Consider the following 25,028-nt stretch of genomic DNA (forward strand, 5'->3'; position numbering starts at 1 on the left):
GTGGCCAGCTGGGATATTACTTTTAAAATTTGGAAACTATAGAAAAGCATAAAAGAGAAAAGCAAATGCTCCGTGATCTTATCACTCAGAAGTAATCACGGTTGACATTGTGTCTCTTTTCCCAGTGTTAATATAAGTATATAATCAAGATCCTGTTACACAGATGGCTTCTTGCTGTTGTCAGTACTAGCTGTCACAGTGCAGTTCATCTGTAACAGCAGTCCCCAAACTTTTTGGCACCAGGAACTGGTTTCGTGGAAGACAGTTTTTACATGGATGGTGGCAGGAGGTGGGGGCGATGGTTTCGGGATGAAACTGTTCCACCTCAGATCATCAGCATTAGATAGATGCTCAAAAGGAGCTCACAAGCTAGATCCCTCACAGGCGTAGTTCACAATAGTGTTTGCGCTCCTGTGAGAATCTAATGCTGCACCGCCTGACAGGAGGCAGAGCTCTGGTGGTAATGCTCGCCAGCCCACTGCTCATCTCCTGCCGTGCAGCCCATTCCTAACAGGCCACAGAGGTACTGGTCTGTGGCCCCGGGGGGTTGGGGACCCCTGGTCTAGAGAACATCAGGCTTTTCCCACAGGGTACTTGGTCCTGACACAGGCTGGAAATGAGATGTACCCAGTAATTTTTGGTATATATGCTTCCTGGGTGTTGAGTGCTTGGGATGCTCAGTGTGGCTTATATATTCTGTGAGTCATGTAAAAGGAGAAGCTGATTCTTTATGGTGCATTTGTCTTAGAAGTAGTTTGTTTTTCTGAGTTGAATGTTCTTCAGGAATGAGAAAATTCCTGTTAATCATCCTACATACCATTCAGACATGCTTTCTAAACTAAGCCGCTCTCCAAGGAACCACTTTTTCCTTTCAAATCAGTACAAAGCCAAACTGTTCCCCTTAAAATGTTTGTATGTAACATAAGGGGAAGAAAATTCAGCTATCTTAATTCTATTTTAAATGTTCCGCTTCTCCAACAAATTGTTTATCGTCTCTTTATCACGCTAAGACAAGGACTCTGTGGGTTTTCAGAGATGCATTTAATACTTCACGTTTACTTTTCATGTCTCTGTTGTATAATTTACCATTGTATGAACATGAATTAAATATAATGTATCAGAATTTAGAATTCATTAAAATTCTGTCTTGCAAGATTGTTCATAATAGGAAGGGCCCACATAACATGGAATCTTCGGCAGTAGTTGTGGTGCCAGACACCCCAAAATAAATGTGGGTTTGTTTTTGTGTATCTTTAGCTTCCAAGTATTTAGAACCAAAAATGTAAAACAAATCACAACAGATTAGTGGGAGGATACTTCGAGAGAAAATAGACACGGATTGTCTAAAAAGATTTCTAATGGAGGACAAGGCAGGAGAGACCCTGGGAAGTGAAGGTGGGGTCCGTACCCTTGGAATACTAAGGAGAATCAGGTGTGGAGTTCACAGTGGGGTGTGTGGGATTCACATTGCTGTGTGCGCTTGGCTGGGTGAGAGCCAGTCGTGTCCTGGTGAAAGGCAAAACATTAGGCAGAGCATTTCCCAGGAACTGGCATCTTGGTTGCTTCTTACTAAGATGATCTCACCCTGCTTCAGCTTCCTAAAGATCACCCCTTCCTAACTAATTACTTGAGTTACTCAAGCGGGAGTCTTAAGTTTACGAATAAAGAAACGTGAACCAAATATGCCAGGGAATTAGAGAACCATCTTCCTAGCATGTTTCTGTCTGCATTTACCCATACGGTGTGCTTTCTTTTTTAGGTGCTATCCATATGTCCAAAATGTTCCTTTGCTCTATTCCATTTTAGTGTCTGTTTCCTGGAAGCAGGTATGAGGCTACTGAGAGAGCGCTCGTTTACTGGCTTGATGTGTGAAGCTGCCTGCCTGCAAGCAGGTGGGCATCTGTAGGGCTCCTGCATGGCCCACGTGCTGCCTTGGTGTAACCGATGGACCTTGGCAAGTATGGGTGGAGTTGGGTGTATTTCTGCACATCAGCCTGCATTGACTCATGTCAGTTTTTGCCCAGAAGTCTGTCCCTATGATCAACTCCTCCAGGCTGATGTGGGTTTTTCTTTATAACTTCCCCTTCCGTTTGGGAATTCACAGATTTTGGGCACGCACTCAGGTTGTCCTCAGTGACCCCCACAGCTGTGAGAGCCACCCAGAGGGCAACTGTTCATAAGTTAAAGGCTGGGGTGGCCTGCGTTCCTTCCTGGAAGCAGGCCGTGCTGAGGCAGCTGTTGATGGGGAATCTTGCTTGGTTTTGTGTTTTTGTTTTTTTAAGGAACATAGTTGTTGATTGTCTGATTTGTGAAATTTACAAGTGGGTGTTTGTAAAGTAGAGATGAATTAGTGGTAAACATGCAGTTCGTTCTAATGCTGCTAATTGAAGTTGACTAAATCTGTAATGTTTAACCGGCTGTGCTAAGAAACTTCATTCAGTGGCGAGAAAGGTTGGTTGTGTGGTGTCCAAGAGGACCACTTGATCCCCTTGTGCTTCTACTGTGGGTTTTCTTTTTCTTCTTCAAAGCCTGCTATACACAGTTACGTTTAAAAAGTGAAGTTAATCGATAGTTTGCACTATCTGTAGAATTCTGGAAAGGCGATAGCCTGGCTCAGCGCTTTTCTATGAAAATGAAGCAGTCGAGGCCCGGGGCAGCCAAGCGACTTGGCCAGGGCTATGAGTCTGCCTCACAGCAAGGCCAGGAGTGGGCCCCTCGCAGCCCAGGTTTGGAGGCTGGAGCCCAGTTCCATCAAGGCCCTTCTCCAAAGCACGGAACAGGTGGACCGCACCCAGGCGCTCCAGAGCACTTATGTCTCAGTAACGTTTGTTTGTCCAAAGCAGCATACGATCCAGCCCCGCTGCCCACCCTTACCTGGGAAACGGGGCTCCTCTCATAGACCCACAGTGCTCCCCCTAGCCTGTTCATACGTGCCCTCACATCTGAGCTGCTCCTGACCCTGAGAGCCGAAGTGAGCTGAGACTCACCCCTCTGGAGCTTTTTAGGGAGGATAGAGGTGCGTGCATACCTTGTTGAGAAAGTGCCACACCGGATCCTGCATGTGTCCCTAGCCATAACAGCGAACTGGTATGGGGATGACAACACAATGGCAGCCATCACCTGGGCTCCTGCTGCGTGTCAACACCCCGCTGAGTGCCATCCTCAGTTACTGGGCCCTCATAACAGCCCCACGGGTACCAGGGGTTTCCTTGTGTTACAGATGAAGACATGTAGATGCAGAGAGATGTTACAGAAAGTGCCAAAGCCAAGCACGAGGAGGCAGAGAGGCTGGGCTCCAGAGTGTTCTGAGAAGCTGGCACAAGTACGGTTCGGCTGTGTCTTTGCCAACCACGTGCCACCTGCGTGTTCCCCCGTGAATGTGCTGTCTCTTTTTGTGTATTCGTCACATTTCACTTTCCTGAGCAGGTGTGGTCCTGCAGAACAGCAGGCGTGCTGAACTTTTGCCAGTGGATTGACACTTTAAGCAGTGCTCCAGAATGCCGTGTCTCATCCTTGCCGCGTCTTGTACACTCTTTTGCATATTCAAAAACGCTTGGGCTCATGGATCTGGTATATGTGTTGAGAGGTACTAAATATGTATTTTTAATTAAAAATTATAATGAAAAAAATTTTTAATTCTCTTCATTGGCATCTGTGTTCCCATTTGACTTTCATTCACATTTGTGAGAAAATTCTATACTTTTAGACCATTTTTTTTTCAGGTTTAAATATTCTATCATTTTGTTTGCCTGCCTGCTCACAAAGGAATGGGCTTTCTTATGACTGGAGTGGAAAGTCAGGTTCAGAGCCCTGGACACAAGGACCCATGTGGTGGTCGGGAGGGTGGGTCCTTTGCCCCAACACCTCCCTTTCAGAGCTGGTTCCTGGTGTGCCCACCCACTGGCAAAGGGACTACCTGCGCATAGAGATGTTGGAAGACACTCGGCCCCACCTGTATGGGCTGAAGTCCATCAGTGAGACCACAGTGCCACGGGGCCAAGCAGGGGCCCTACAGGTGCTCCTCCTACCCTCCCCTTCAGAGAGCAGCCAGCTGGAGGCTGAGGAGGCAGGGGGCCAGCAGCCCTAACCCCCACCCAGGCAGGGTGGCTGCTTGGGGTTTCCCTCAGGGATGGCAACTCCCTTCTGTGGCATGAGGCTTCTTCCTCCCTGCCATCCTGTGGCAGTCCCTTCCTGAACTTGGGGATTTTGAATGGCGCACAGTAGAATGTTTCATTATGGGGTATGCATGCCTAGAAATAAGAAAAGTCAGGCCAGGCACAGTGGCTCACACCTGTAATTCCCAGCACAGTGGGAGGCCGAGGTGGGCAGATCACTTGAGGTCAAGAGCTCGAGACCAGCCTGGCCAACATGGTTAAACCCCGTCTCTACTAAAAATATAAAAATTAGCCAGGGTGGTGGCACATACCTGCAATCTCAGCTACTTGGGAGACGGAGGCACAAGAATCGCTTGAACCTGGGAGGCGGAGGTTGCAGCCAAGATCGCGCCACCTCACTCCAGCCTGGGTGACACAGTGAGACCCTGTCTCAAAAAAGAAAGAAAGAAAGAATAAAGGTAAATATCCTGGAGTTATTCCAGTCTGGGGAAATTCAGGGTGGTTCAGGAAATAATGTACCACAGAGCCACCAGACACAGCCAGTAACAGCGGTGCTTTCACCCTAGGAGCAACATCACTGACATACGGGTGTGTGAGTGCCCAGCACATCGTAGGATCTTGGTGGAAGGGAAGGAGGAAGAAATAGCTGCAGAGCAGGGTCAGCGTGTTGTGTGCTTGGGAGGTCTGCTCATCGTGATCCTGGCCTCCTACTTTCGCTCACACCCCTGGCAGTGGAGGTGCCTGTCACTGCAGACACAGGCCTGGAGGGTCGATGAGTGCGTGTGAAATCGGGGTGATGAGACAGCGAGTGAGGTTTATTAATTGCAGATGTGTATTGAATGCCTGCTCCATGCCCAGATCTGAGGCCACGATGGTGACTTTGTTTGTCCTTCCCAAGGAGATAAATACAGAGAGATGAGGAGGATGGTGAGCTGAGCACCAGTGAGCGCTCCCACAGCCTGCGGGAGACAGGCCTTTAGACAGGCAAGGTGCTGTCAGGCGCTGCGCCACGTTATTGTAGTGCTGGTTACTGATCAAGGTGCTCCGCACGCTTTGGGATCAACCCTCATTTTACCATGGAGGGAAGGCCAGTGGTGTTTCCTCATGGGCTGTGTTGCCTGCAGTCTGCTCAGGGAGATGGGGATTTGCTAAGCTTTTGAAAAAGATAATGGTTTTTCTTTTTTCTTTTTTTTTTGAGACAGAGTCTCCCTCTGTCGCCCAGGCTGGAGTGCAGTGGCGCGATCTCGGCTCACTGCAACCTCCGACTCCCAGGTTCAAGCAATTCTCCTGCCTCAGCCTCCCCAGTGGCTATCATAGGCATATGCCACCACACCCAGCTAATTTTTTTGTATTTTTAGTAGAGACGGGGTTTCACCATTTTGGCCAGGCTGGTCTTGAACTCCTGACCTCAAGTGATCTGCCCACCTTGGCCTCCCAAAGTGCTGGGATTACAGGCATCAGCCACTGTGCCCGGCCTGGTTTTTGTTTTCTAAAGCTAAACTACTAGAGGTAAAAAGTTTCCTGGGTCAACTTCCTAAGGTCAATTAGGACCTTAGAGAGCGGGGAGGAAACTACATGACACCTGACAACAACAGGAACCTGAAGGGACAGTTTTGGAGATGGGCTGAGATTTCGTGCAAGGGAAATTGGTGCCCAAAAGGGACATGGAAGACTGGGGAAGCTGTCAAGAATACATTTACTGCTTTTTCTCCATGGTGGTCAGGAATTTAGAATTTCTTCTTCCTTAAACGTACGCAGTTCTTAATGGTGAGATTATTTTCTGCCAGCAGGACACTTAGAAGAGAAAGGTCAGTTGACGAATATTTTTGCTTTGCTCGACACGTTTCTGCCAGCCTCAGCTGGAGAGCTCTATGCTCCTGCCCTGCCCAGATCCCTCTCTGCAGCTACGGGATCAGCTGAAGGTGCCTGCTGCTGCTTGCACGCTGTCACCCGCTACCTTCCCCCCGCCACCAGGCCTGCCCTGTGCCCTTGCTGTTCACAGTGTGGCCCTAACACCTCCTTCACATCACTGAATGGCTCTGAGTCCTTCTGCTCACAGCCGTGGTGTAGCCTGTCTTCCTTGCCACGGGTACTTCCTGTCCTCACCTGAGCGCCTCCGTGTCCTGCGGGACCGAAAGAGACATGCTCAGGGAGGTCCTCCCTGACCTCCTCCTCTTTATTGCGATTGTCACCGTTGGTCATCTGCAACTTGGGTTTGTGTAAGTGATTCTCTATTTCACTAGTCTGTGAGGTTTAGGAGGCTGGGTAGGTTCTTCACACTTTCCCTCAGGCTGAGCATTAAACAACAAATGAGCAAAGAACCCTTCTTGAGAACTCTGAAGAAATGAAGAAAGAGGTACAGCCAGAGGTGGCATTTGTAGGTATTCTAGTGTAAATTCATGGCAGAGCCAAGGGACAGCATTTCAGGAAGGAATGGAGAGCATCGTGATCTGTTAGTTGACTGAAAGTTTTTGCACCTTAAATGCCATTTGTTGCTAGGGAGGAGTCAGAAATGATTCGGAGAAATCTCTGAAAAAGTAACTGAGTCCCCTTTCTCCTTCATCCGGGGACACCTCTGTTGAGCAGTGAGTACATTCTGATGCCCTTCCCGGAAGTGGACATTAGCAGCGCCTGTCCTCTGCCTGTCTTGGCAGGTGTGCTGTGACCCTGGTTGGGGCCAGACCAGTGGCATCTGGTGCCCTCACCCGGCTGCCAGGAAAGGTCACTGTCCTTCCATATCCCACACCCCCAGTTCCATGATCTTTGGCCAGCAGTCAGTGTCATGTCTGAGCCTCCATATGACAAAAGGAATGGGTGTCAGCTGAAGCAGCTAGCTGATGGCATTTGTGCGTGAGTCTCTTCCAACTTAAATTTGACCTTGTCTGAAATCGATTTGTACCCAAAAGTCTGTCCCACTCTCATGAGCCACTCTCAGGATGTTCTCTGACCACTGTGCCTAAGATACTGGCCCCAGTGAATTCATGTGGGCCCACCCTAAGTCAACTCTGAGAGCCCCCAGAAAATCGAGGTTACATCATGTTGGTCTGTGAGGCCTAATGGATGTGGCCTCCCAGCATCACAGGTTTCTCATTATTACTCCTGCAGTAAATATTTTAAGCCCAGATTCTCCAGGCTTAGGAAACATGCACGCCACCCAGCTATGAATTATGTCTGCTGATCCACCGCCACCACCACCCTCACTCCCACACCCAAAACCCTTGGTCACTGTGTTCTTTTCAGCTCACCCATATTTACCACGTTTTCAGATGGGAATCAACAGTTTGGCTCGTTTAAGGGGATGGTTGGGGAGAGGAACAGTGAGGCTGGGGGAAGGGTGGTTTTATTTTTTGGGGGCTCTTAATTGAAGAGACTGAAAGTCAACTCAAAAGTAACTGAAGGGGAAAAAAAGAAAACGAAAAGTTGGCTCAGATGATTGGGAAGTACGATTGGATCCAGGGGTGCAACTCTTGGTTGGGGCCTGTCTCTCTGAGCCTCTCCCTGCTCACCTCTGCCCTTCACTCCTTACATGAACCTCTGCAGCGTGGGCAGATGCTGCTGCAACCCTGGCCATGTCCTCCTAGGGACGGTATTTCCCCCATGACTGTAGCAAGGGTCCCGGGAGTGCCCTGACCACACAGATATGAGTCATGGGCCTTCCCCCATGGCCAGCAAAGGCGGGGGAAGGCTCGGGGTGAGATGGGGCCCTTCACAGAGAGGAATTTTGTTTGACTAAGAGAAGGGACAAAGGGTTCTGAACAGATTAAGACAATAGAACCATGACATTAATCTCATGTGGCCGCCCTTTCAAAAAATCCTTAAGTTGAGTGAATTTGAGTTTTTTCCCTTTACCTATTGAAATATTATGATGATAAATTTGTGCCCTTCGTACTCTGAATAGTGGAAGCTAATCTTAGCAGCATAACTAAAAAAGTAGATGCAAATTAAATGAATATACAGCAACACAAAAACTTGTAGAAGCTGAGCTGAACGTTAGTTATATTCTGACTCTTATATGGAAATGTACTTTGGTCACTTTATACCATAATCAGATCTTATCTCCATAGTATTTAATAAAAGCTTTTTGTAATATTTAGCTGACTTTAATAATAGGTTCTGACTCTAGTGGGGGAAACCCCCACAGATCAATAATCTCGATTCTTAGCAAAAATAGCATTTTCAATAAAAGGAAGTTTTCTGATTAAATTTGGTTTATGTTACACATCTGATCAGTAGCAAAAATTAAATGATTTTGCCATAGAGCCCCCAAAACTTGAGCACACCGCGTCTAAACGAATTGGCTTGAATATGTTTCCAAAGTACCAAGTTTGTTTGACGCTTCAGCTTAAATCTCCCGAACTCCAGCTGGAAGATGACAGGCAGAGCATGTTTTAAAGTCATCTGTTACAACATCTCTTCATCTGAAAGGGGATATAAAAGATTTTGACTTTAAATTTACTGACATTAATAATGTATGACATATTCAGGCTTTTATTAGGACCCAATCTTTAATGTCTGTAATTTTATTCAGGAAAGTTAAAATGTGCTTATTATCAATAAAAATAAAACTTGTGATCAGAGATCCAGTAGCTTGATGCTGCAAAATCACCACCAAAGCAGAAACTATAGTTTACCTTTAAATCCAAGTCAGCTATTTGCCACTTAAAATTATACTTTCTGTCTGCTCACTGAGTGACAAATGTTATTACCTGCAGTACACATGTTATTTTATTATTATGAAATGCAGATAAAGTCATGGCACAGTTGGTGGCTGGTCTTTAATGTGGCACCTGTGGTGGTAGCTTGGTTAAGGAGTTTGTTCACACTCCTTGCTGTCCATCTTGGGCAGCTCTATGCTCAGGAGCTCTGTGTCCTTGCCCTCCAACCTGGCTGCTGACTGGCCTGGGAGACCTCAGGCAAATGCTCAGCCTCTCCAAGCCTCTGTCACTCGTCTCATCTGTGGAGCACACTGTCAAGCACCCAGGGCCCCTGTGTAGAGCAAACAGAACATTGCAGCTGCTGGAGGTGCTGGCGGTACGGGGTCTCCTGCCCCGCCCAGTCCCCTGGGCTGTACACACATGGAATCCTGGGACTCATTTCCCACAGCAGCAGCCTGAGAACAACTGGCCAAGCTGCTGCAGACTGAACTGCAACTGGCCAAGCTGCCTCAGATCGTGTTCCCCCCATTCATATGTTGAAATCCTAACCCGTAATATGATGGTATTGGGAGGTGATTATGTCATGAGACTGATGCCCTCATGAATGGGATTCGTGCCCTTATAAAAGAGACCTCAGAGAGCACCCTTGCTGCTTCTGCCATGTGAGGACACAGCAAGGAGGCACCATCTGTGAACTAGGAAATGGGCCCTCACCAGACACCGAATCTCCTGGGGCCTTGACATGGGGCTTCCAGCCTCCAGAATGGTGAGAAATAAATGTCTGTAATTTTACTTTATAAGTCAGTTGGTTTACAGTATTTTGTTATAGGCGCCTGAACCAATTAAGATACCATCAGATCTCTAAGGTTTCTTCTAGAACTTAAACACCGTAATTTTATGATGATAGATTTAAAGTGCTTGAGATGCTTTTCAGTGTAAGAGTTAAAATCCTGCTCACTGCTGAGCATGTCTATGAAACAGCATCTTGCTTTTTTTTTAGTTACTTTCATTCTTTCATTCTTTTTCATGCAAAGATATAGCAGTTTATACATTATTGAACAAGCTGTAGATAAAGTCATTACTTTGTGAGAAAATGCTGCTTCATCTAATACACAGCATGCCAGCCATTGGAAGGGTTTTGTAACGGTCACATTCTAGATATGATCATCGCAATATGATTTATCCAAAGCATGCTGCTGTGACACCTCCAACCAAAATGCTCAAAACCAGGTAAATTCTGTGCAGTAGGATTTTATGATTAACTTGAGAATTGAAAGAAAAACACATCATTTCATCTCTTGTCTCAAGTCTTGCTAAAACACATGACCGCACACCATGCCTCGGTAAGGGCAGGATGGGAGGCATTGGAACTGTCTGGGTGTTCTGCATGGGTGAGGACCCACCTACCTCACGTCTCCCTGAAGGATCCACCTGGCCTGCAGCCTGCTTTGGAGTTCACTGTTGACCCCAAGGTGAGCAGGCTCCAGGGACATGCTAGCGAATGTGCTCTTCCAAAATGCAACATAGAAAGACTGGTGAGCAGGGGCCCTGGATGATGGGGGCTTCCAGTCTGCCATGTTCTGGTTGGCTATGGTTTCATTATGGTAGCTAAAGACAGCCCAAATCTGAGAAGTGGGTATGAGGATTTGCCTGTCTTGTTGAGAAAATATGTTAAAATTCTATGAGAAAAGAATCATGTTACCCTGTTAAACACACATTGGACTTCAAATTGTGCTTCTGTTACAACTGGAAGCAGTAGGTGGTTTTACTTTAATGAAAGATGAGGCGATGAAGCGGAGATGTGTAGAAAAACTACACAGAGAGAATGAAAGGAAACTGGGATCTGGGTGCCGCCTCTTTACCTACAAGGTAATGAGTTTGCCTTCGAATTAGAGAGAGGCAGTCGCTTAGAGCCTGGACCACTCAGGGACTTGCCCTCGGTCTGGACGCACAGCTGCAGTGCTCCGTCTCCCAGACATGCATGAATCCCTGCTTGTTCTGCAGCAGAAACCGTCCCTTTGAGATGTCCCGGCTGCCACCTGGCGGGGTCACAGCTCCAGGTGAAGTCCAGGCAAGAGGAGAAGGACAAGGGATCGCTGAGTCCCCTAAGCCTGCCCCCATGTAAAGGCTCTCCTGACTCTAGGGTTGCAGTTTACTTAATTATCCTCACACAGAAAGGCCACCTGCACTCTTGGTGCATTTTTCTCTTCCCACTCCTCCTCCTACCACTGAGACACCTTGCCCAGGCACCCTTCCCCTCCCTCCCCCTGGCCACAGCTTTCTTGCTCTGGTATCCTTAGCAGTCAGGAGGGCGGCACACATTAAATCTTCATATGCCAGCATTCAGGATCTCCCATCCCTTCTGTTCTAGATGACCCTGGCTCTGGCCATTGGGCAGGATCAGGGTGCAGGGAGGAGAAGGGACCTGCTTTCTCAGCAACCCAGCAACTTGGTCCCATTGACGTCTTTCCCACACAGTACCCCTCCAGCCTGCTGAGACCTATTAACTGCTGTTCTGGGGCCCTGGCCTGTCACTGGTATTACACTTCTTATCCAAAATCTTCATTATCTGAACCTCAGCCCCTCTTCCATCTGGAGACACAGGGGCCTCTTCATTCTGTAGAGAAAGAGAAAAGGTTTCTCTCTGCTTGGGCATGCAAGCAGGCAGGGAGGGAGTGGAGTAGATTCTTGGCACCCCAATTCAGAGTCCTAGTTTCATTTCCTATAGAAATCATATTACAGATGATAATGCTTTCCATAAAAACCATTCTGGACACCAGCCGCTATCAGAACTATGCTCCTTCACTATTATGGATTGAATGGGAATTTACTGGGAGTACAGTCTGTGCCACATCACTGGTGGGTATGTTGGGCCAATTCCTTTACCTCCTGTAGCCTCAGTTTCCTTATTTCCACAAATTAAGAAGTTGCCCACTTTGTCACAGGACTGTTGTGAGGGTTTAGATAACATAGTAAAGTCAGGTCCCTCTCCATCTCCAGACACCTGCCTCTTGAATTTCACTGCACCAGCAGCTACATACAACATTGCTCCCATGGAAGAGTGTTTGCTTCCCAGGTGTCAAAGTCTGGCAGGCAGGCTTTCTATTTTGATGGCCATCCAACACTGGTAGGATCATGGCCAAGTGTTTTTAAAGAGGACTTTGGCCCTCTTTTGGTAAAGTATTGTTCAGAGCAACAAGAAAGCCACAGCTTAGTTAATAAGGGTAATCATTGTTATCCACAGAGCACTTCCTGTGCTTTATAGCATCAGCTGAACGCTGGTGCCTGTCATGGGCCAGATTGCATCTTCCTGAAATTCATACGAAGTCCCAATCCCCAGGACCTCAGAATGGGACTGTGTTTGGAGACAAAGCCTTTACAGGGGTGATTAAGTTAAAATGAAGTCACTGGGGTGGGCCCTCATCCAGTCTAACTGGTGTTCTTATAAGAAAAGGAGATTGGAACACAAAGAAAAGGAGATTGGAACACAGACACACTCAGAGGGAAGACCATGTGAAGACACACAGGAAGAAGACAGCATCTGCAGGTCCAGGAGAGAGGCCTTGCAAGGAACCAACCCTGCCCACACCTTGATTTGGACTTCCAGCCTCCAGAATTGTGAGGAAATAAATGTCTGTTGTTTAAGCCACCCAGTCTATGGTACTTATCATGGTTCCCTGAGCAGACTAGTATGTTCACATTTGGGGGGTAAGAAAACCAGTACACAGAGAGACATTTATTAAGTAATTTGACTAAGAGCATGCAGCTCTCTGTCAGTCTGCACTGACCCTCTGAGTTGCGCCAAAGACTATTTAGATCACATTCAAGCAAAACAGGTAAAATTTCCGCTGCATGCTTGCTATGTGCAATGTTCCAGTCTTGATGGAGAAGTATAAGCTCTATGCAGGCAGAAAGCATGCCTGTCTGCTCATTTCACCCCTCACCAAAGTCTAGTTTGCTGCCTGGTATGTCTCAGGAACTCAGTGGCTGTATTAATTAGATTACTGTATTTTGTTTTTGAAAGAAGTCACTAAAGTAGAATATTCGTCTATCAGTTATAAAGTGTCTTTATAACGTATTGTGATGGCCACTATCAAATGTCTTTTTTGCTGATCTTTTCACCTTTATCTTCATGGCCTGATGAATATTCCGAAACCTGCTCTTCCACAGGCGTTTTTTCTCAAGTAGCTTTTGTAATTCACATGTTTGCAAAGGTCTATTAAAAGTTTATTGTTCAATGTTATTTCTTGACATCATTGTTGCCAATAAAAGTTGGCCTCAGCGTAGCCCTCACGCCCCGGCTTGCTAGCTGTTTTGATAAGGCCGTGAGGCCTTCCTGGTTGAGCTTCGGGCACCACTGCCTTCTGGACAAAAAAGTTTGCTTTCATGGATGGCCTGCCTTCTGGATTGTGGAGCTGTGGCGGTATCATGGTGCTTTCATTGTGTAGTTGAACCATCCTGCATTTGAAATCCTATGAAAGGATGAGTTCTCAGATTTAGAGGTTTGTGTTTTTATATAAGTTAACACAAAGTAGAAATCTAAGCGTTTCACCTGTTCTAATATTCTGGCTTACTCTTGTGTTTCCCATGCACATGCATAAAATGTGGTACAAAGAGAAACGGCAGAGGCCATTAGCATAAATGAATCAGTGTATTTGCTCTGAAACGTACGTGGCCTCACATGCCTCCTGGCGCCGCGTGGGCACATGTCCCAGGGTAGTGGCAGTGGGAGGGGGGCAGCAGCCCAGCTCTCCACCATTGAGGACAATCAGCCTTTTTACCCTCTTCACCTCCTGCCCACTCAGCAAGGCCATAGAAGCACAAGTAATTCTTAGGACTGATCGCCCTTTACTCTAGTTTAAGGAAGAAAAGGAGAAAGGGGTACAAGCTACCCATGGAAGTGCTTGGAGGAAGTCATTTTGAGGAGTCTACAAATGACTAAACCTCCACACTGATTAAGGTAGAGGTCGAAGCAGAGCTGTGGTGGGAGCACTCATCTCTCAGGACAGCTGAGGAAGGGCCAGTCTGCTTGTGTGGGGTGTGTCCCCAGCTCTGGGGCTGACATGCTTTCCTCTCCTAGAATGTTCCGGAATTCCGTGCATTTTAACACAGTTAAAACATTTTTACCTTAGGGCTTTTCTAGCATTTTTCCTCATGCACAGGAAGAAATGTTTCTCAATCTGATTCGATACTCGTATCTGTGACTGAAGAAACAGTACTTACTGTAATTGTGTTTGATGCACTGAAATTTTCTACTTTATTCCCTTAAATTCAACACATACCTATAGGCTGGTTGCAGCCCATTAAAGTGATTTTTTATGATCCACTAGTGGGCTTTGAATCACAGTATGAAAAAATTTGCCTTCGATTGAAGGTATCAGCTAAGTTTTCCTAATGCACTCATCACAATCTGTTGTGGGAAATTAGTCTGCTGTTTTGAAAGAAGAGAAGGATTGTAAGAAGAGAAGAAAGGTGAAGATGATGGGTTTTGCCCAGTAGGGCTGTTATGCTGCCCAGGGGTGAGGGTGGGGGCAGTGAGTGTCCCAGGAGTGGAGGAGGCAGCGGCAAGGCAGCTGGGGGCAGGGCAGGTTATACAGGCTGCGTTCCCTAAGACTGGATGGTCTTAGAGTTCTAACGGGTCTTTGAATTCATTTAGTCTGACTTCCCACCCATTCTAGGAATGAAAAAGATATTTTCTCTGCATTTATACTTTATTTTTCTGAGAGGCGCAGGGATGCTCTAAAAATGGTTATTTCAGAAGGAAACCACCTACTCTTGTTATCTTTTGTGTCACTGGTATTCCCGCATTTTTTGGTTTTAGAGACAGGGCCTCACTCTGTTGCACAGGCTGGAGTGCAGTGGAGCGATCATGGCTCACTGCAGTCTCAACTCTGGCTCAAGCCATCCTCCCACCTCAGCCTCTCCAGTAGCTGGGGCCACAGATGTGCACCACAGGTGGCTAATTTTTTTTTTTTTTTTTTTTTTTTTTTTTTTTGCAGACACGGTCTCGCTATGTTGCTTAGGCTGGTCTCAGACTCCTGGCCTCAAGCAATCTTCCCGCCTGGGCCTCTCAAAGGCTGGGATTCCAGGCGTGAGCCACTGTGCTGGCCCTGTGACATGTTTTTATGGATAAAATAGATCAATTTAATTCTCAACTTTAAGTAACTTCGCAACTACAGGAGGCAGCTGCCAGCAACCGTATTTTTCTCATGGTAATTACAGTTTGTAAGCACTGTCCATGTGTCGTCCCCTTGTATTTAACCGCCAGAGAAACTGCGTGGAAATCCCGGTAGGCTAGGGAGTGTGGTGGTGCCCAAGTGCCCTGCGCCACTGAGCCTTGCTGTGTCTCCACAGGCCTCGGCAAGACGCGCAGGAAGACCAGCGCGCGGGATGCGTCCCCCACGCCCAGCACGGACGCCGAGTACCCCGCCAATGGCAGCGGCGCCGACCGCATCTACGACCTCAACATCCCGGCCTTCGTCAAGTTCGCCTATGTGGCCGAGCGGGAGGATGAGTTGTCCCTGGTGAAGGGGTCGCGCGTCACCGTCATGGAGAAGTGCAGCGACGGTTGGTGGCGGGGCAGCTACAACGGGCAGATCGGCTGGTTCCCCTCCAACTACGTCTTGGAGGAGGTGGACGAGGCGGCTGCGGAGTCCCCAAGCTTCCTGAGCCTGCGCAAGGGCGCCTCGCTGAGCAATGGCCAGGGCTCCCGCGTGCTGCATGTGGTCCAGACGCTGTACCCCTTCAGCTCAGTCACCGAGGAGGAGCTCAACTTCGAGAAGGGGGAGACCATGGAGGTGATTGAGAAGCCGGAGAACGACCCCGAGTGGTGGAAATGCAAAAATGCCCGGGGCCAGGTGGGCCTCGTCCCCAAAAACTACGTGGTGGTCCTCAGTGACGGGCCTGCCCTGCACCCTGCGCACGCCCCACAGATAAGCTACACCGGGCCCTCGTCCAGCGGGCGCTTCGCGGGCAGAGAGTGGTACTACGGGAACGTGACGCGGCACCAGGCCGAGTGCGCCCTCAACGAGCGGGGCGTGGAGGGCGACTTCCTCATTAGGGACAGCGAGTCCTCGGTAAGTGCGCTGCGCCCACAGCTCCGGCTGCAGGCAGTAAATGCGCCTTGCGCGGTGGGTCTGTGTGCCGCGCCCTTTTCACATTGTGTGAGTACACTAGAAAGAGCGGGAGACGCAGATGAATGCAATTTAGTATAATGTTTGCTACTCCGTGATTTACTTGCATCTGTTTTGGGGATAGTGGGTGTCCATTTCTGGAGGTGGGAGATTAACTAAAAAGATGTTTTTAGCTCACAGAGGTGGTTCTGCTTCTCTCCCAAGATTCCCCCTCTTGTATTTCACAGGCTCAAACATCATTTTCTCTCCTGGTTGCCCATTCTGTGTACGTAGAAGGCCCGAGTGATTTACTTTGTTTCTATTCGGTCTGTGTCCCAGAGAAAGCATTCTTTGCAAGACTGGTGGCTGGTTTCTGACACCTCCTTTTGTTGTTTGCTTGCTTTCTCTTTGTAAACCATATAATCCCAAGGTCATTGCCACGGCAGGCAGCGCCACTGAGTTCATCTCTCAAAAGCTTTTAAAGCACTTACGAGATAAATTGAAAAGAAAACAGGGGTTCTTGGGAGAGATGAGTTTTGTTTGTGTGCAGTGAGTCGGAGATATGAGGCCACTCGACTGGGGCAGCAGACCCAGTTCAGCGGTGGGCAGGCTGGGGGCGGTGAGTTTCAGGCATGGGGTCAAGCCTGCATCCCAGAAGGCAGGCTTTTCGTGTGTGAAGGAAATACTCGACCAGTTTTGCAAACGTCTTTCCGAATACACCTTCTACAATCGAGAGACTTCCAAAACAAGCATTTAGGAGATAGAGTTTAATGTATTTGAATTGTATTGGTTCTAGGAGGCTTCAATTTCATTTTTAAATGCACGCTATAAGACTAGTAAGTATGTACTACCTGCTGCCACTGCTGTCCTCTGAAAAGATTACTGGCACAATGAATAAGTGCTCATTCAAGGGTCCTGTTGACTGATCAGAGAGGCATTCAAAGCCCTCCAGAGAGAGGCGACTGGGATGTGCTCTCTTTGAGGACGGAGCATCGTGGTGGTGGAAACTGGACTCCTTTATGGTGTCATCAATTTTGCGGAGCCTTACATGTGCTTGGACGGGAATGCCAGGCTGAAAGCTAACTTCATCTGAAATCTGAACTCTGAGATTTATCAAGTCACCAGAGTTTATCATTCCTGGCAAGACATCACATTGAATTGTTCTCACATGACGAGAGCTCTGTGCACCACTTCTTTTAGATCGTGTTTGAAGCCTTAAGCAAATTAAGGACAGCAGCGCTTTTAACTCAATCGAGCAGAAACTTAGAGAAAGCGCTGGAAAACCAATTACAATATTAAGTGCTTGGTCCAGAGTCCTTAAGGGCTAAGTATAATGCACAAAATATGATCTTGGCTTAAAATTTTTTGAGTTTGAGGAGACTTCTCAGAAGGAAGTCCTGCAGTGTGGAGACATTGGTCCCAGTCATTATTCTTTCTGCCTAAGATTTGGGGAAAAGAGGAAAGACTTTAGAGGGTAGATGAAAAAGGTGTTCTCCGGGGTTGCTGGCCTTAGGGAGGACCTATGGCTTTTCTGTGGAACATGCACAGGTGGTCATTGCTGTCTGAATTCAGGGACCAAGTCCCTTTGGATAAGGAGGGATGCATGCATTGTCTGGGTTTCATCTCAGAACTCTGCACCCCACTGTCTCAGTTGTCTTATATTGTTAGAGAATGAGCTAACTTTTTCTAAAGAACTAAAGCACGAATTGTTTGTATTTCCTTTTAACAGTTTTTTAATGGGGGCCTTTCAGGGTTTTTTGCATTCTCTCCTAACTTAGAAAGTCAAGGAACAACATATATGATTCTAGGAATATAGGGCGGAAAGAGCTTTACTGGGACTTGCATCGGCTCTGCACACATAGCAGCACCGTCTTTGTCTGAGGTTCCACGTGGCCTGATGCTGTGCAGGGCAGCTTGTCCTGATGGATCTTGCCGTGACACGGGCCATTTTCAGCTGTTAGTGTGCATGCCTTGTTCCATGGGGATTCTGCAAGAGCCCTGAGGTGTGTGTGTGGCTTCTTTTCTCCTGACAGCAGAACCATGCCAGGTTTGCTGTATTTCCTGTTCATAACCAAGGCGTTCTCAGCTGTCATCTGTGACTACCAGGGACCTGTCCTGGTGGACAAGTGGACAAGTCCTTTGCTTGTTTTTTTCCCACCATCCACTGCCTCCCCCCGTCCCCATGTGTTTTCCTGCTCATTTTGGCATTTCTCAGGTTAGAGCTGGCTTTCGCAGCCACCACTAGGCCACCAAGAGCCCTTAGGTTCATGATCTGACATAATTCCTTCGCAGCATGCCAGGATGGAAAGGTTTCTGAGGGGTTCAGCCTCCCTGCAGGACTCAGTCAGGCATCTTTATTTAATTTCCTTTTTTTCTTGCAGTCTTTGGGCCTGGGCCTTTAATTGAGGTTATCACATGAGGCCTGGCTTCTGGATAAGCACAGCTGTTTTTTTTGGAATGGATCTTCAATAAAATATCCTGAGTGATTGCAGTGTAAATGAGCTAGACCCTTGCTTGACGATATTGAGGGGTGCGTATTTCAGGGAAGACAAACATTGCCACATGCTACACTATCCACTATCAGTAAGTGCTGGGTATTTCAGAAGTATCTGTTGGATATGTTAGATGAATCAGTGAACCAACAAACGAACGAACCTCTTGGACCCTCTTTCCTGTCCTGAACTTCAGTACCTACTGCTTGTCCTTCCATTTCTTCCTCCTCCCTCGCTCTCCTCTCTCATCTACAATTGTCATTTATCCTTAGCAGCTAAAGGTGATGCATTGTTGTTGCTTATTCTCCATATTTCGTTATCATACCTTCACCTGTGAGCCATACCTGCTTAAATCCAGAAAACTCAGAAATCCTACTCACCCTGTGTGTGTCCATTATAAATCCTTTTATATTACATTTTGTCCACATTGATTCTATGGATGTGGCTAGAAAGCTGTACTTAAAATGAACAGTAACCCTTTACTGGGTTTCTGGTAAACTGTACAAGTTGTCAATATTTTATTTTCTTAATTGCTGCATCTCCCATCCTTGTAAAGCTTGTTCAGAAAATGACAGATCACAACTAGGATATGGTTGGAAAAGGTGCAGAGCTGGCCTGCAAGTGCGGGAGGCCATTTTCCTCTGTAAGATTTTAGTTCCCGAAGATATCATGTATTTATTATGTCCTGCAATAGTATTAGATACTAATATTTTTTGTCATACAGTACTTTTTTTTCCAGTAGAGAAAAACTGTCTCGCTAAGGATAATTTAATGCACATATTTGTTTCATTTCTCTTTTTTAAAATATATGAAAAGTATTTGGCTGGGAAATAAAATAGAATAGCTCCTTTCTGTATTTTTAAAGTTATAATATTTCTTAAAGAAATTATAACTTTTACCCAAAACTCTATTTTCAGGCAATTTCATCATTCCATTTCTCTAAATAATGATTCTCTAACTGTATGTAGTGTGTATCAGAATTGCCTTGAAGCTTGTTAAAACAAATTGCTGGGTCCTACCTGAAATGGTACTGATTCAGGAGGTCTGGGGCCCAAGAATTTGCATTTCTATTAATAGCACGTTTCTTGGTGGTGATGCTGCTGCTTTTGGGACCACACTTTGAAAACCCTTGATCCCTATGATGCATTCTTAGTGGTTTTATATATTCTTGCAGCTGTTATTAAAACCATTTCTGCATAATACTACATTTCCATGAATTATAAAAATATTGTCATAAAGCTGAACTTCATTTAGAACTGAAGCTTTTGTTGAGTGGGATTTATCTCTTGAAGTATATTTCTGTTGAGTTTTTTGGGGGGCTTTTTTGTGTTTTTGTTTGTTTGTTTTTTACTGTTTAGAGTTTGAAAATAAACGTGCTGTATTTGCTGTGTTTCTGCTGATGAATTAGGAGGAGGTAGATTGTCAGAGCAATGTGAAAGCTGCTTCCAGGGTTTCATGGTTAGGCTCCGTGATCCATGGTGTTTCTTCATAAATGAGTTAATGTTAAGATGACTTAACCTTAGGTTGCTGTGAGCAGTGCCTGTAGGCATCTTTCCAGTTTCAAAGATAACAAGTTATTTTTAATTGCCAGGCTTTTTGCCCAGTACCAAATGGAAGTTTTAAGCCTGGATTTTTGTAATAGTTCTAATTTTAAGCATATTTAACTCTTGAAGATGGAAAGGCCTGCAAGATCATGCAGTACAGGCTGTTATCTGGAAGTTTAGTGCTCATCACCTGATTCTGATTCTCAAATGGGCCAGAGCCCTTGAAGACTCTGCCTTCTCACTCTGGCTGGCTCTTCAATGCTGACCTTTAAAACAGACAACATCCAGCATCACCAGCAAACTTGCTAGAATGCAGATTGCCCCAGCTTGCTGACTTCGAATCTCTGGGGTAGGGCTCTGCAACCTTGGTTTGAAGAAGCCCTCTGAGTCCTTTTTTTGTTCCAAATCCTGAGAACCTATGAACTCCTGAATAATTCTGATGCGCCAATTTGAGAACCACTACGTTGTGGAGTATGCACTTGATTCAAGCCCTTTTGCATACTGTTGTGTAATATGGTAAAATTCTGACTTAAATGTATCACTCAGTCACATCAGGTATGACACTATGGAAAGACAAAGAATAACAAGGACAATATTCTACAGGTCTATATGGTGAGGTATTACATGTGACTTTAGGAAATACATTTGGGGATAGGGAGGGCTAACCACACACATGCATACTAACTGGAAAGTGGACAGGGAACGCTCCGTTTGCCTAGATTAGGTAGATGGGACTTGGACAGCTGCTCTGTAGTTGATGATTGACTTTTCATTTATGTAAATAAGATTACTTCCAAAGTTAATGAGATGAATATTTGAACATGTCAGTGTGGATTGGCTTCAGGCCTGTGGAGTAAATATTTTATAGAGTGAACATTGATAGGAGAATAGGAAAAGCTGGTGAGACTCTTCACACTTGGGGCAAGGAAGAGATAATCTGATGTAAAAACAAAGAACATAGGGTCAACTGACAGCTAGCAGCATAAGTATAGGCAGGAGTAATTTTTATTAAAAGAAGGCTACCTTAGACAACTAGGGCAGGTGACCAAATAGAATGGTAAAACTGAAAGGCAGTTTTTCTGAGATAAAAACAGAGAAACTATTAATCAGTGGATCACGATTTGCCTCTAACCCATTTGTTCTCACTTTTGGGAGGTAAATGAACCACTTCTGTGGACAGAAGAGTGCCTTCTGTAAAGAAGTAAAAGGGGAAAAACATGTCTTTACCAAAAGAAAAGAATGATACAACTTGTGATAAGAAACCAACAGGGTGACCTCTCTCTGGGGGTAGAAGGAGATGTGTAGATTATTGATGCTTGGAGACTTCAGCGTGGCTGGAGATCAGTCCAGGGTCTGTGTGGAAGGCCTGGTGAATCACACAAAGGGCATTTCTACCCTCATCATTTCATAAAGTCCAAAGTGAAAGATAAGGAGAAGTTTTAAGGTTTAAAGAACCAAAAGTACCTGGAGCAAGGCCCCTCCCTCCCGTTTCCTCATGACTATTGTGCTTAGAAGAAAATCGCATTAATACATAAGCTTTCAGGAATGGAGGAGGAAATAAAGGATATTAAAGTCTGTCCTCGGCATTCATTTTTTTCCTTCTATGAGAAAACAATGATTAAATCTTGAGAGAGGGAGAGGCGTATCTGATCAGGACATCTGTTTTATAAAACTGCAAAGGTGCTTTTCAGCAAGTATTTGAGGCAATGGATCAAGCTGGCAAAGCCATAGAGATGGGATCAAAGAGTGTGCTCTCTACTGTTCTTTTCTAAAAGTACCCACTTATCGCGAGCACAAATTGCAAAGAGATGAGGTGTAAGAATTACCTAAAGGAATGAATAATGGAAGAGGTAGTCAAAATTAGAAATTTTTAAGTCTGCACGTTTGTTGAACACCAGATACTCTGAGCCCGGTGTGGGGATGTGGAGCTAAATAGGGTTCTTGCACTTAGTTGTATTCAAACACAGAATCTAAAGCCTAAACAAAAATAATGATGATAGAGGCCCCGAGAGAGGTTGGTTTTCCGCCAACCTATTAATTGTCCTTAGATTCCACTTGGAAAATGACTTCTGAAAAGAAGGGTCAAATGAATGGGTTGTACTAATTGTTCATTCTCCAGAACCATTGATTCAAAAACTATGAGAATGGAAAAATCATTCCTTATAAGGAGTACTCATAGAAGGACATAACAGGAAGAAGTGGTCTGATGTTTGAAAATTTGAAGAATTTGCCCAGTAGTCAGCACAGAGAAATTACTATATACCAAGTAAGTACAGTGTTTGGAGATGGAAAGTGTAGGAAATGCGGACAGTGGGAGGTAGCACAAAGGTGGCAATTAAAGAGGAGAAATCAAAGGGGAGATGTTTCAAAACCCGGGGACTGAGTCTAGTTAGGTTTTAGTCCAATCATAGAAAATTGTAATGAGTGTCCTGTCCATCTATGATGGCTTAAAAAGATGTCCATAAATTCTTTGGTACTCTTTGCTTCAGAAGGTGGAGCCTGACCCTCTTCCCTTCAGCATGGGCTGCACTGAGCAACTCACTTCTAATGACCAAGATGTGGCAGAAGCGATGGAGGGCAGCTTCCGAGATGGGCATTGTGGCTGCCTCTTTGCTCTCTCTTGGGTCACTTGATCTAGGGTGAGCCAGCTGTCATGTTGAGAGTACATTCAGGCAGCCCTACAGAGCCCCCTAGGGGTTCATGTGAGCAGACTGCCTTGGAAGTAGAGCCTGCATCCCCAGTCTAGCCTTCAGATGACTGCAGCCTCAGCCAGCATCCTGACTGCATGTTTCAAAAATGTGTTAAGATTCTTTGACAAGCTTAAATGTAGAGTACTCTACCATACTATCAGTACTCTAGTACTTGTTGAGGAGCAAGTGTGGCATGGTCCTTTTTCATCCAATTTCTTGAAATCTGTTCTAGAAAGCCAACCGTGGAAGGACTGCAACAGATGAGAATAGGACTGATGGAGTTGCTTTCATGGGAATCATTCCCTGGCTCCCTCTGGAGGCAGAGTTGTTTTGGGTCGGGAGTAACTCCATCTCCATCAGATGCAGGGACTGGTGGCTCACTTTGAAAGGAGGAGACCATACAGCAGTGTCCCAGCTGTCCCTTCAGGGGAAATTCCCTATGAGAGATGTCTGGAGCAGAGCCAGAGTCCTCAGGACAGAATTGGAAAAGTATCCACAGACTGGAGCTCCCTCCATCATGGGCTGCTTTGCCCATAAATGGCATTCCCATCTTTTTCTGGTGACCAAACATTTGTTGGTGGCTCCAGCACTGCCGATGTTTGTTCCAGATTTTCTTTCTTCCAGTTCTCAAACTGCATCAGAGTCCCCTGAAGGGCTTATTAAAACACACGGTGCTGGAGGTTAAAACACAGATGGCTGGGCTCCACCCCAGAATTTCTGCTACAGCAGGGTTGAGGCAGAGCCTGAGAATTTGCATTTCTTTTTTTTTTTTTTTTTTTTTAATTATTTTGAGATAGGGTCTCACTCTGTCATCTAGGCTGGAGTGCAGTGGCCCTGTCATACCTCACTGTTGCCTTGACCTCCCGGGCTCAAGTGATCCTCCCACCCTGGCCTCCCAAGTAGCTGGGACCACAGGTATGCATCACCACACCTGGCTAATTATTTTAAATTTTATGTAGAGATAGGGTCCCACTATGTTGCCCAGGCTGATCTCAAAGTCCTGGCCTCAAGTAATCCTGCCACCATGGCATCCCAAAGGGCAGGGATTACAGGTGTGAGCTTCCATGGCTGGCCCTTGAGAATATGCTTCCTAACCAGTTCTCAGAGGATGCTCATGCTGCTGGTCTTGAGAGCACACTTGGAGAACATCTTAACTAGTTCATCTTCACACTTCACTTAGAGGTGTTCAGTGGTCATATGTAACGGTGTATGTTAGTATACAGATTGTTCTTTTTCAGATTTCCTACAGAAAATCTACTTAGTTTAAATTAAAGAACACTCCCCAACTTTTAGCACTCCTGCTTGGCATAAATTGGTTCTACATCCTTAACTTTTAAAGGTTTCTGCTCAGGAGCCCACGAAATTAAAAATTACCTCTTCTGCTGCGAAAATTTTATTGCTGCAACTCATGCATGCATACAGGCACACACACACCATGATGTTAAATTAAGGAGCTTGAATTAAAAGCAAATTTCCCTTATGTAGAAAGTCATCTGTTGATCATTTGGCTTAATTAAAATTGGGTGTATCTTACATCTACCATGATTCACTCCCATACTGCCTCCACTAAAAATGATGCCACATTATCTCTAAATTGAGCCTGGCTTATAGTAAACTCTATAAGTGAGACTGCCCTTCATCTTTTCCTAAAGATACAACTTCTAGTACAGAATATTAATCATCTATAGGCTGAGGCCTAATCTGAGATTAACCTTCTGGTTTCTTCCTGGAGTTTCATCCAGGAGTATGCCCTGGGCCTCACATGGGGATGAGATGGGGCTTTTCGCCTCAAAGGTTTGTTCTTATTTGGTCTATTTGAGACAGAGGCATGCATAAATACAAACTATACTTACAATTGTTCCTTTCATTCTTTTCTGTTAACAGCTATGGCTGCTGGGTGAGCCCAGCTGCCTTGCACAATTTGAGTCTTCTCAGACACTCATTCCCCTGAGTTGTCATTGGTAGAAATGGAGTGATTCCTTGTTTTGCAAGGGTTGCACACTTCTCATCAAACATTTATTTGGGCTTTTGTGAACTCTGTAATAGACAATGGCCTAGTCCTTTGTTAACTGTCTGGAGGTCCTGCTGGGAGGTCGCAGAGCAGGGCTGAGCTGCTGGACCCTCAGAGCAGGAAGTTTCTGGGCTTTGAGAAAAGCAGAAAACTGGTCTGGGAATTCCAGGAAGAATTTCGGATGTTAGGCTGTGGTCCTGCCACTGGCCAGGCATGTCCGAGGTACCAGCCCTGCCTCGGAGAGCACATGCTCAGCTCCACATTGTCCAGAGGGCTCTCCTGCCCCCACACGCACTTATACATTCACACAGATGAACTCACACGCTACGCATACTCTCACACACTCTCAATACTCACATACTCCCTCTCACATCTGCGCACGCTCACACACTTAGAGCTGCGGTATCTC

At 46.0% G+C, this 25,028-nt stretch overlaps 1 protein-coding gene across 14 annotated transcripts in view, besides 4 other annotated features; it reads left to right on the top strand.

Annotated features, from left to right (window-relative positions):
- Positions 1-25,028, top strand: part of NCK2 (NCK adaptor protein 2) — a 149,820-nt gene that overhangs the window by 121,751 nt on the left and 3,041 nt on the right. For 11 of the 14 annotated variants that reach the window (XM_017005105.2, XM_017005103.2, NM_003581.5 and 8 more), the window contains one exon: positions 15,125-15,846. The exons of the other annotated variants lie outside the window; for them this stretch is intronic. In XM_017005105.2, coding sequence (XP_016860594.1) covers positions 15,125-15,846 — 722 coding nt within the window. The remainder of the gene's footprint in view (positions 1-15,124; positions 15,847-25,028) is intronic. 14 annotated transcript variants of the gene reach the window in all.
- Positions 7,068-7,187: an enhancer, noted in NCBI's record as "active region_16334". NCBI's record gives its function as "activates an Ori minimal core promoter by ATAC-STARR-seq in GM12878 lymphoblastoid cells {active_cell/tissue: GM12878}" and the evidence as "EXISTENCE:reporter gene assay evidence [ECO:0000049][PMID:35858748]".
- Positions 7,738-7,897: an enhancer, noted in NCBI's record as "active region_16335". NCBI's record gives its function as "activates an Ori minimal core promoter by ATAC-STARR-seq in GM12878 lymphoblastoid cells {active_cell/tissue: GM12878}" and the evidence as "EXISTENCE:reporter gene assay evidence [ECO:0000049][PMID:35858748]".
- Positions 14,705-15,485: an enhancer, noted in NCBI's record as "H3K27ac-H3K4me1 hESC enhancer chr2:106497364-106498144 (GRCh37/hg19 assembly coordinates)". NCBI's record gives its function as "activates a minimal SCP1, AML or CMV promoter by ChIP-STARR-seq in naive H9 embryonic stem cells {active_cell/tissue: H9 hESC(naive)}" and the evidence as "EXISTENCE:reporter gene assay evidence [ECO:0000049][PMID:30033119]".
- Positions 15,486-16,264: an enhancer, noted in NCBI's record as "H3K27ac-H3K4me1 hESC enhancer chr2:106498145-106498923 (GRCh37/hg19 assembly coordinates)". NCBI's record gives its function as "activates a minimal SCP1, AML or CMV promoter by ChIP-STARR-seq in naive H9 embryonic stem cells {active_cell/tissue: H9 hESC(naive)}" and the evidence as "EXISTENCE:reporter gene assay evidence [ECO:0000049][PMID:30033119]".

Source organism: Homo sapiens, chromosome 2 (genome assembly GCF_000001405.40).
Source record: "Homo sapiens chromosome 2, GRCh38.p14 Primary Assembly".
Lineage (NCBI taxonomy): Eukaryota > Metazoa > Chordata > Mammalia > Primates > Hominidae > Homo > Homo sapiens.